General features: G+C 33.6%; 1 protein-coding gene across 3 annotated transcripts in view; it reads left to right on the forward strand.

Moving 5' to 3' along the window:
• The window catches only part of SLC27A6 (solute carrier family 27 member 6), a 68,148-nt gene extending 56,211 nt beyond the window's left edge, over window positions 1-11,937 (forward strand). For all 3 annotated transcript variants that reach the window (NM_001017372.3, NM_014031.5, NM_001317984.2), the window contains 5 exons: window positions 1,922-2,012; window positions 5,435-5,633; window positions 6,647-6,744; window positions 7,879-8,009; window positions 11,408-11,937. In NM_001017372.3, coding sequence (NP_001017372.1) covers window positions 1,922-2,012; window positions 5,435-5,633; window positions 6,647-6,744; window positions 7,879-8,009; window positions 11,408-11,584 — 696 coding nt within the window. In that variant the 3' untranslated portion in view covers window positions 11,585-11,937. The remainder of the gene's footprint in view (window positions 1-1,921; window positions 2,013-5,434; window positions 5,634-6,646; window positions 6,745-7,878; window positions 8,010-11,407) is intronic.
• The last annotated feature ends 509 nt before the right edge of the window (window positions 11,938-12,446 follow it).

Genomic DNA, 12,446 nt, shown 5'->3' on the forward strand with positions numbered 1-12,446 from the left:
ATGAGGACCTCTTGAAGGCAGGAAGGAGAATGGAAATATTTCCAGTTGAGCATTAATCCTCTGCTCCAGAGTACTTCTAGAAAATGCTGTGATATATTTAATTGCGTTTGAATTATAAAATTATTCAATTTCTGACTATCAAGTCCCCTTTTTCTGATAACAGACACAGTAAACAGTAATTTGCTGTGGAATGAATCTCACCCACACACAGTTGCCCAATTAATCTAAAAGAAATAACACTAAAGCTGACATCACAAGTCACTGGGCAAATTTTCCAAAAAACAAAGCATGTTAAAACAGGAGAGAAAAGAATAAGTAATGAACAGGGCTCTGTTTTTGTTTGGCCAAGATGATAAAGGCAGTCCCGGAACTTCTGGACTCTTTCTTTCTACTAGCCATTAGGCAAGTGGCCAATATCCTGTTATCCCAATTACAGACAAAGACCAACAAGATGCAAGTTCGTATTTTAATAAACAGTCTTTATATCTAGAATAACAATATATTTGCTTTGCTGCCTCTTTCATTGGCTCTAATCCTAAAATAGGATAATATTAATTTCTACATCATAGGATGTTTTGATGATTACATTAAATAGAACTCTTAAACACTTAGCACAGTGTCCAGCATATAGTTGGTGCCCAATCAATATTAATTGCTCTCATTTATATTTTAATTCAAATAATGAGTTGTGATTCAAGTTACATGCTTATTTTCCTAATGCTAAGAACCAGAGGTATTTGTATTTAATCTTTGATGATAAATAATACTATTGCATCTATCTCAATCATCTTATCTTTTCCCACTTATTTGTTCTATATTTGTTCATTTCTCTTCTCCTGCTTTCCCCCCATTCATCTTTCCTTATTATTATTTTATCTCACTTCATTTTATTACATTCATGTTAGTTTACCATTTTCTAACTGAGCTTGTTTGATTGCTGAGTAGAACCTCAATTTTCTTACAGAATAAAAATGAGGAGGGTTGGGCGAAGTGGCTCACACCTGTAAGCCCAGCTGCATGGAGGGATAAGGTGGTAGGATTGCTTGAGCCTGGGAGGCAGAGGTTGCAGTGAAACAAGTTCTCATCACTGCACTGTAGCCTGGGTGACAGAGTGAGACACTGTCTCAAAAACAAACAAAACAAAATAGGAGGAGGTTGGACTAAACCAGTCTGCAGTTCTCTTCCAGGGTGAGAATTTAGGGGACAAATGAGCCTGCATGATGTGATAATATGGACATGATAGGAGCAGAGTAGCTGAAGGGATGAGAGGAGACATCCAATTTTTGGTTCTTGATGCGATGGGAGTTTTCTAATAAATTTATCATCTCACACCAAAAGAGTGTGGAGAAGCACTGAATGTTAGTTTAGGAGCGTTACAGTGAAAGGCTCAGGGGAAAGGCTTAGGGGAAAAGGACAAAGTGGCTGTCAAGTAAACATACTTTTTAGGCATTTGATGTGTTTTGACTTTTTTTTTTAGATACTGTGAGGAAAAAATAACACAATTTTTGAATTAATATGCTTCCATTTTAGTTCTATTAAAACTTTTCATTTCAAGGGCTATTTTAAATAAATGGCTGCAGAAAATGGTCCTTTTGCCTGCAGTTAACAGAGTATATAATTGAATGCCTGGATTGTTTCAGTATCTTGATTAAAATTAGTAGTGTTTTGCTAAGTAAAGTGTACCACAAAAGAAATGAAAGTAAATGCCAGTAAATGACTGCTGTTTACTAATACCTTTAGTTTTGATTTTTAAATATTTATTTAATTTGTCTTCAGTAAAAGTTGTTTTAATAACTCCATATTCCAATTATTTATTTCAATTAGCATAGTCTACTACAGTAGACTAAATTGCTTGTACAAGTAACTAAATGCACAAGTAACTAAATGCTTGTTTCTATTTGTTTGATTTTTTTTTTTGCAGCTTCTTTCCACTTTTGACTTAATAAAGTATGACTTTCAGAAAGATGAACCCATGAGAAATGAGCAGGGTTGGTGTATTCATGTGAAAAAAGGTAAGACTTCTATTTGAAGACATCTCCTCAAGCAAAGTTTCTGATCTCCTGTATACAGACATCCCTTGGTATCCTTGGGGGATTGGTTCCAGGACCCCGGGTAGACACCAAAATTCATGGATGTTTGCTCCTTATATAAAATGATACAGTATTTGCCTATGAGGTGTGCACATCCTCCTGTATACTTTAAACAGGTTGCTTATAATACATAATACAATGTAAATGCTACATAAATAGGGTCGTATGGTATTTTTTATTTATATTTTTTATTGTTTTATTATTATTTTATCTTTTTTACCAAATATTTTCTATCCAAGGTTGGTTGAATCCACAGATGTGAAACCATGGATATGGAGGGCCCACTGTGATTATTAGTGAATTTAAAAAGGAGAGGATGACTAGGTCCACTGTATAATTTAACTTTGGAATTTTAATGCAGGTGGAACAATTTTACTATTAAATGTTAAGAGCCCTAGAGGGATCACTCAGATGGTAAATTATTAAAATACAAAAGTGGTAACTATTTGGCTCATACTATTCTTAATCCACCACTTGTAGTATGAACAGTGGCAAATTTCTAATGTCCTATATTGCCAAACTATAATATAGAAATTAGTGAATTAATTTATCACTCTAGATATAATGTAAAGTCAGGCCAACTTGGATTTAAACGTGGTCTCTGACACTTAGAAATGGTGCAACTTTAGACAGATTACTCAACCTAAGTCTTATTTTCTTCATATGTAAAGTAGAAGTGACAATGTTTATTAAGTGAGGTTATTGTGGACGATTAAATGGGATGTATATATATTCCTGGGGGACCTGGTATGTGGCTTGTTACTTTCCTCTCCTCAGCTTCTCCCTCTCACTCCCCTCCCTTCTCTACCAAGGTAGACTTTCTTACAATTTTAGGTTAGAAATTTTCATGAAAGCAAGTACTTCAATTAACTTGCTGCTGCATATAATCAAATTAGAAAATAAAATATAGAGATGTGCACTTAGAATTGTTTAGAGATCCAGTATGGATAAATCAAGCCAAAATTAATTTGTATTGCCTTAAAATATGTTGAAACTGCATTTCAGAAGTGGCTTCCTAAATCTTTTCTTCAAATGTGAAGATAAGGTGACAAACCTGTTTTTATTTTCTGGTAGCTGAAAGACTAAAATAAAAAATGCAAACTTTGTCTATTAAAAAACAAATCTCCCAAATCTCTGAATTTCAAGCCTACTGGCATTTATCAAATATGTTTCTCCAATTCTAATCTGTAGACACTGCCCATGGGAAAATAATTTCTGAGCAGAGTGCAAAGAACTTAAGTGCACTTTTCTACTGTTCTATTTCTTACAATTATAGTAATATCTGATGTTAAAACTTGAATCCCAGAACTGTGCTTATGTAACCTCAGGGTTTCTTAAAAAGCTGGTTGACCCCAAATATCTGTTTTTCTATTTTGGAATTCTCATTATGAGCTACTCAATATTTTTTCCATTAAGGCATTGTGTCTTCACAATGTAAATTATGCCCAGACAGGAAAGATATGAATACACTGTGACCTATTTAAACATTTGCAACAATTAGTTTGTCAGAAAAGAAACTGTCACCTGTGTCCTAAAAAAGAAAAAAAAACGTAAGTTTTAAGGGAGATATAAGAGTCTTGAAAAATTCTGAAATACAGGGAATGTAGACTGACAGAATATATCACAGAGGTAAGGCTTTGGAGTCAGATGTACCTGGATATATATATATATATACTCCGACTCCTGCATTTGACAGCTGTATGACATTGGGCAAATTCCTTTTTTTACGCCTCAGTTTTTTCACCTTAAAATGAAGATATTATCTGGGCCTTTCTTATAGGTTTGTGATGAGAATTAAATGGATTACATATGTAAAACACTCAGAATCATGACTATTATGCAAAAAGTGCTCAATAGGTATAATTGTGATGATAATGATGGTGATGATGATGATATGATGGTGTTGGTGATATGATGATATGATGGTGATGATATGATGATGATGATGATGATGATGCTATCAGACTGCTGGGGCAGAGAAGATTTGCTTTGGCCAGTGACCTATGTGCCCTTGAAAGCCAGAATGCCCAGGAGTGGGAGAAATGGGAGTCGAGTAAAGACTGTTGGCTGGGTGCGGTGGCTCACGCCAGTAATCCCAACACTTTTGGAGGCTGAGGTGGGAGGATGGCTTAAGCCCAAGAGTTCTAGATCAGCTGGGCAACCTGGTGAGACCTCGTGTCTACAAAAAAATTACAAAATTAGCTGGGCCTAGTGGCATGCATCTGCAGCCCAGCTACTTGGGAAGTTGAGGTGGGAGGATCGGTTGAGTCTGGGAAGTCAAGGCTGTGGTGGACCATGATCATGCCACTTCACTCCAGCCTGGGTCACAGAGTGAGAGTTATTTTTTTTAAGAGCATTAAAAAGACAGAAATCACTCTGTATCATAGTTTGCTGGACTCCAACTTCATCTAGCCGCATGAACACTGCATCACTTTACAGCAGGCATAGCAAGTGGACAATAGCCTTGAAGACTTCCAGAGCAGTGATTGCTGCTGTCCTTTGTCCTCTCGTCTTCTCTTAGAAGTAGCTTTTACCTTGCAGATTGCTGAGAAAAACCTTAATTAATTTGAATAAGTTTGATTGGAAAATTATTTCAGATAATGTGTCTAAACATAACTGAAACTAATAAGTATCATAGAATAGGAAACCTTTTCAATGTCTCATCTCTTTCCCATCAAAAATTTCCAGAATAGCATCCCAGAGGAATAAACTGTTTTATTATAATAACATGTGTGTTGGATCAGAGATAGTATTATACAGAAACCTTGCCACACAAAGTCATAAAAACTTGAATTTGAGTTATAGGTCCATTTATTTCTCTGAGCGTGGCAACTATTTTACCCCTCTCGGTCCTAGTTCCTTGCTGGTGAAATAGGGATTATATCAAAGGATTTCTATGCAGAATAAGCAAAGTGGCATTTGCAAAGGGCTCATGGTAAATGCCCAATAAAAAATGCTATCATTATTTTATTAACACTATCACTACATTTGTTATTTATATAACAAATGTCAATATTATCTGTGGTAACATCTACATAATCCAAAACAAAAATAGCCGTTGGTCTATCCACCTGGGAAGTATAAGAAATCTAATGAGGCTTTTCTTTCCATTCAATTCCCTTTTTATTAGTTTTTCCAAAGTAATTTGTATTTGTGGTAATCTATGAAAGGATGTGCTGGATATAGGCACCAAGGGTAAATGATGTCAAATACAGAAATAGGTTCAGAGGAAGCTGAGATAAGCAGCATTGGTTGTGCTGGCCAGATATAATATAGATACATTCATGGTGTGTGTAACAATAGTTTTAATCAGATGGCTGCAAAAATGTCGTTCTTTCTTGCAGGAGAACCTGGACTTCTCATTTCTCGAGTGAATGCAAAAAATCCCTTCTTTGGCTATGCTGGGCCTTATAAGCACACAAAAGACAAATTGCTTTGTGATGTTTTTAAGAAGGGAGATGTTTACCTTAATACTGGAGACTTAATAGTCCAGGATCAGGACAATTTCCTTTATTTTTGGGACCGTACTGGAGACACTTTCAGGTATGAAATGTTATGGGATCCATAGCTTGTTCTGTAATTGTGAACCATGCTTCTATAGAAACATCAGAGACCACATATGCTTTAGCTTTCAGGGCAGACAGAGCCCTTTTATCTCCATGTCTCCTCATTAAAACATTTATTGGCCATCTGTTTCTAGACTGAACCACAAGTTAAATTTTGATGTAAAGTTTTATGATTATTTTAGTGAATCAGTTTAGAACAAATCAGTGAGCTCCTTTTTAAGGAAATAAAACTGGCAGACAGATGTAAAATATAAATGGTAGGGTTAAAACAGAAAGCCAGTTTGGTCAACTGTAGTCTAATTCTTGGCCTAATGATAAAAATTTTGAAGCAGCAAAAATCCCCTTTCTCACATTTCCTTTTTTAATTCCCTAAGATTATTTTAGGCCTATGAAATTATTTTGCTTTACTAGTCCAATGACTTGAATGAATAAGTAACTTCCTACATCCTTGCCTTCTTGTACCATGTTATAAGCTCACTTTATATAAAATTATTTCAATTAAAACAAAATATTCATTCAAAAGCATTAAAGGAGTCAAAGGGGGTTAACACCTAGAAATTTAAGTGGGTCAGAGTCAAAGGGGTTAACACCTAGAAACTGAAGTGGGTCAGTGTCCTAAAAGACAACTAGAGCTTTGCTTTCAATTCTTAACACCAGAGAAAAGGAATGTTTCACACTTCATTGTTATTTTACAAAATAATATTTTTGTAATGATAATCCTTGTAGTTATTTTATTTTTATGTATATTATAAAACATAGAAGGTAATTTATACAATGAGATATAAAGTAATTTTGACTAAAAGACCAATGCTGATTTTGTTGAAATACCAACAAAGTGCTTTCTTAGAAATGCCTTTCATCTTGAAAACTACAATTATGTTGGTCAGTAGGTGCTTGCACAGTGCCAAATGCAAGACATTAAAACTAAAACTGGGTACCTAGTTTTTCAAATACAGGTGCACTAACTGGAATTTGATTTTTTTCATTTAGATGGAAAGGAGAAAATGTCGCAACCACTGAGGTTGCTGATGTTATTGGAATGTTGGATTTCATACAGGAAGCAAACGTCTATGGTGTGGCTATATCAGGTATAAATATATTTCAGATTTTGGAAAGATTCTTAGAATAGAATTGCCACTATTCTCTAGTTTTGCAACAGTCTTGCTAATTCAACATTTTAATTTTTGTGTATTAAGATAAAGATTTTATTATTGTCTTGGCAAGTAATGCCCCTTGACCAAGCTAACAAAGTTCATGATCACATCAGGGGAAAGGTACCAACTGAATTTTAATGCCTGCGTGTATTTTTTTTTTTTTTTAGCAAAGCTTGAAAACTCTGATCAATGTCTCACTGCTTGGAATTAGTTACAGCTTTTTATTAGTCTATTATTTTTCTTTTTATGACTGGTGTTTGTACATACCACTAAACAAGAACATGTTCTATTTTAAATGTTTAAAAATACTGACTTTTAGTTAAGATGGCTCTTTATAAAAATTATTTTTAAATTTGGACTCATTATCCTTATAGTTATGCATATGAGGATTGTCTCATGATGTTGAAAATGCCACAGAAAAGTGACCAATTTGAAGTCATAAGACAGCCATTCTCCATTTTTTCTGCAAATGCTTTTAGGTGCAGGAGAGATCAGGGATGTGAGTGTGTGGATAGGAGAGCAGAAGAAGGGAATGATTACTTAATAAATAGCCACTGAGTGTTGAAGAAAGATTCCAGGACATTCTGACCCCTGTAAAGATCCACAGGTGGCATGATAAGCATTAAATGATTTTTGGAATCAATTATGGAAATACGAGTTTCTAGTTTCTTAACTTAAAAAATAAGCCCTTCATATTTTACATTAAAGCTTAGGATATGTATTTCTGCTGGAATATAGTTGCCTTTAAATAAATGTTTTCTTTCTTAATATTTGTTTTAGTGATGGTAGGATGCAAATTCATTGTAATTTATAGTGTTTCCCATTCCATGTATTTCATTTCTGTAGTATAGGCAATTAGAGATAGACTCTGGCCTTCCCTGTCCTTAAATGATTTCTAGGGGGTAAATCATATGTTCAGGGAAGGATACAGACTAGTTTATGCTCCTGTTGTCTTATTATTACTGAAATAGATTTAATGTCTCCATGTGTGCCAATTAGCATGTACAGAATTATCTTTTAAAGTTTATTTGGTACTTAAAAATGACTCTATTTCAAACTTTTTTTCAGGTTATGAAGGAAGAGCAGGAATGGCTTCTATTATTTTAAAACCAAATACATCTTTAGATTTGGAAAAAGTTTATGAACAAGTTGTAACATTTCTACCAGCTTATGCTTGTCCACGATTTTTAAGAATTCAGGTAATTTTAGTGGCGGAGTTTACTATCAAATATAAGACAGTAAACAAGGAAGTAGTTTAATTGCAAAATAATATTGTATCCTTTAGATAACATGTGAGTTATGTGAGAGGCGTGGCGTGTAGAGTTGATGCAGATCGATGCCATGTTTGAAGCCTAATTATAAAGGGGGCATGGTGAAATGCTAGGACGTACCTGTCTTTGTCCTAATTATAGAATTGCTCTCTTCCTCTTCAGTCAGGACCTCAGAGCAAAATGATGGTCCCAGTGACGGTGGCAATCCAAAACCACATCTTACTTTTATCTTGCGAAGACATTTGGTGCTATGTGCCTAGAATTGGGTTCCATTAAGGAGACATCAAAGAGATGGCAAGATGTGTGCAGAACCTAAAGGCATCTGGCTTTAGGCAATCCTGCTTTTTAATTTTTATTGCTGTTCTGTCCAAATTCCCCCTCACCTGGACCTTCCCCATGTGAGAAATTCTGAGTTTATTTATTTTGAGATGAGGACTTTCTCTTGTTAGCTTACTGGTATAAGTACAGTAAAAAGAAAACAAATTTCCTTAACTACTGGGTAACTTTACTTACTCATTTATTCAACCATTCATGTATTTAATATTTTGCCTCAAATATAATTTCCCAAAATTATTACTCATCATCTCTTAACATCCAACCACACAGATTTTTTTTTCTGAATACATTTGTTATTTCACTAATAGACTCCTAGAGGAGCAATAACCTGTGTCATATTCAGGTTTCAGTATTTGCCAAGCAATCATTGCAGCCAAGTCACTGCTTATTCAATGGGACACATCCTCTGAACTATCATAATACCTATTTCATCTCTCTTTTTGATTTTGAGTTTTTACATTGTCTCAGATTATTTTAACAACAACCCTCTGAAACACTAAAGGTAAGTAAATATGAAAAAAGAAGTAATATATTTTTATTGAAATTTTATTGAGATAGTTGTAGATTGACACGCACTTATAAGAAATAATAAGAGAGAACTTGTATATCCTTCACCTTGTTTCCCCCAAGGATAACATTTTGCAGATCTGTTACAACCAGGATGTTAACATAATCTACCCATCTTATTAAAAATTCTGCTTTACTTACACTTATATGTGTGCGTATATTTTCTATACAGTTTTATCACCTGTGCAACTTCATGCATTCATGACCATAGTAAAGATATGAATAATTTCAAAATCTTTCCCCCATGTTGTCCTTTTACAACCATAGCGAGCTCCCTCTTGTCCCTCCTCATCCTCACCCAACCCCATAAGTAATATATTTTGATGGAGTAGAAAGTTGACAGGACAAATAATATTTTAAGAGTTTTTTTCCAAGGCAACATAAAATTCACTTTCATTAAATAGAAAAAATGTTTTAGCTCAAGACTACTTTAGAAGATTAGATCAGCCTTGCACAAATTTAGAAAGTATTTTAGGATCCTTAAGCACCTAAAAAGAACATGGACCATGACTGTTATGTTTATTAGAGTATTCACTATAGTTAGAAATAAAGCCTGACAGCAGTCAAATATTTGTTTAATAAATGAATGTTAGTAATAAATGATCTCATAAAAGAAATGCAAAAGTAAAAGTTACTTCTGACAAAATGAGTCAAACAAGTATTGTATTACAAATCTATTTAGCACAAATTAAAAAATGGAAGAAGCCTTTTTGCCAATAATTCACAAAAATATAATATTCAGTGTGGCTGGGATAAAACGAACTTGGTCCTTTCATTCTGCTCATGGAACCATAAATTGTTATAACCTCTCTAGAAAACAATTTGGTAATATATGATCAGACTCTTAACAGTTTGCATATATTTTGACTTAGTCAAAATGCATCTTAGGAAGTAATCAAAGATGTATAAAGATTTTAATATTCTAAAACACATTTTTTATTTCTAGTGTTAAAAATTTTGATATTCTCTAAAAGTTCATGAATAAGGGCAAAGTTAATTAAAATATGATAATTAAATGAGACCTTATAAAACAATTTTCTAAGTTCAATTTTGAAGAAAATTACAGGACCCAGGAAAATATACTTTGTATAATATTAAGCTTAAAAATGGCAGAACACTAAATTGTATAAATACAGTGAGCTGCTAATTTTTAAGAAAAGAGTAAAAGGATATGTTTGCTTGCACAGCCATATCTGGCTGTGATGACAGTGTTGGATCAGGGGAGATGGAGGAGGGAAGGGAGATCAGGGAAGGGGGTTCAAAGTGAAGTTGACTCAAATAGTCCAAAAGGATAAATAAAAATGGCCAAGCTACTCATAGAATGTTGTAGGGTCTCTACATGTCATCTCACTTAAACAGACTGTTTATCCATGCCTGAAATTCCCACAAAGGGATACACTCTTATCTCCTTTAAACACCTTGAAACAGAGATTCTTAAACTTTCTAGACTCATGGCATCTTTAATGTCTCATAGCACTCTTGGGTCAAAACAAATACCTAAACATTTGTTTATTCACTAGTTAAGGAAAAACAGATTGGTAAGTATTTAGGTCTAACAAATGAGTAGCCACCTGAAAAATAATCCATATAAATAAGTAAATGCTTTCATTTCATTTTCAAATAACCACAATCAGTCACTAAGGAGATGTAAGTTGGGCCACAGTTCTTCAGACCTTGGAATTAGATTGGACTGGACAGGGAGAGCCTGATTTCATGTTCCATGATGATTTTTGGCTGTACTTGCTTTTTATCCCAGCAACTACCAAAAACCCAATTTTGCAAAGATAATGACATCATTGAATGTATTACAAATTACTATTGAAACTGTGAACCTTGAGCTAGTAGTTTGTGACTGGTGACTAACAGATGTCACTGAGTTTCTCTTGAAAACAAGATATCCTGTGAGGACCTTGGAAATTCACTGAGGTACCTCAAGTTTTAGACCATTCAAGTAACCCCTCTGGGTATATTTAAGCCATGTTTTAGAACATTCTGCACCCCGTCTGGCTCTTATAGTATTCTGCTTTTTATGATAGATTTGTGTGTACCTGTAGTAGAAATTGCTGTCTTTTGTGGCTTTTATCTCCTTAGCATCTTATGGCATTCTCTATACATAATGTTATATTGGCATTGAATTGAAGAGATAACCTATGTATTTTAGACATAATTATAATCAGTTTATTATGTTCATAATTCTTATATATTGAATGAGTTTATATTTAAGTAAAGTTTACAGGTAAATCAAACTAAAGATTTTAATATTCTAAAATACATTTTTTATTTCTAGTGTTAAATTATTAGAAAATACAGAGATCACTAGATATAAAGTGTCATAATTTAATATTACAGTCTATAGTATTAACTATATATGTATATATTATAGTTATTAAATGATTCTACTCATCCTGGTAATTGCTTTACAGGAAAAAATGGAAGCAACAGGAACATTCAAACTATTGAAGCATCAGTTGGTGGAAGATGGATTTAATCCACTGAAAATTTCTGAACCACTTTACTTCATGGATAACTTGAAAAAGTCTTATGTTCTACTGACCAGGGAACTTTATGATCAAATAATGTTAGGGGAAATAAAACTTTAAGATTTTTATATCTAGAACTTTCATATGCTTTCTTAGGAAGAGTGAGAGGGGGGTATATGATTCTTTATGAAATGGGGAAAGGGAGCTAACATTAATTATGCATGTACTATATTTCCTTAATATGAGAGATAATTTTTTAATTGCATAAGAATTTTAATTTCTTTTAATTGATATAAACAGTAGTTGATTATTCTTTTTATCTATTTGGAGATTCAGTGCATAACTAAGTATTTTCCTTAATACTAAAGATTTTAAATAATAAATAGTGGCTAGCGGTTTGGACAATCACTAAAAATGTACTTTCTAATAAGTAAAATTTCTAATTTTGAATAAAAGATTAAATTTTACTGAAATATTTTATTTTTATGTATCCTGTCTTATAACCCAATAACATAATTTTCATTAAAAATGTGTTTTCAGTATAGTTTGAAGTCAGGTAGCATGAAACCTCCAGCTTTGTTCTTTTTGCTTAGGATTGTCTTGGTTATGCGGGCTCTTTTTTGGTTCCATATGAAGTTTAAAGTAGATTTTTCCAATTCTGTGAAGAAAGTCATTGGTAGCTTGATGGGGATAGCATTGAATCTATAAATTACTATGGGCAATATGGACATTTTCATGATATTGATTCTTTCTATCCATGAGCATGGAATGTTTTTCCATTTATTTGTGTCCTATTTTTTTCCTTGCGCAGTGGTTTGTAGTTCTCCTTGAAGAGGTCCTTCAAATCCCTTGTAAGTTGTATTCTTAGGTATTTTATTCTATTTGTACCAATTGTGAATGAAAGTTCACTGCTGATTTGGCTCTCTGTTTGTTATTGGTGTATAGGAATGCTTGTGATTTTTGCACATTGATTTTTTGTCCT

This window comes from Homo sapiens, chromosome 5 (genome assembly GCF_000001405.40).
Source record: "Homo sapiens chromosome 5, GRCh38.p14 Primary Assembly".
NCBI classification, from domain to species: domain Eukaryota; kingdom Metazoa; phylum Chordata; class Mammalia; order Primates; family Hominidae; genus Homo; species Homo sapiens.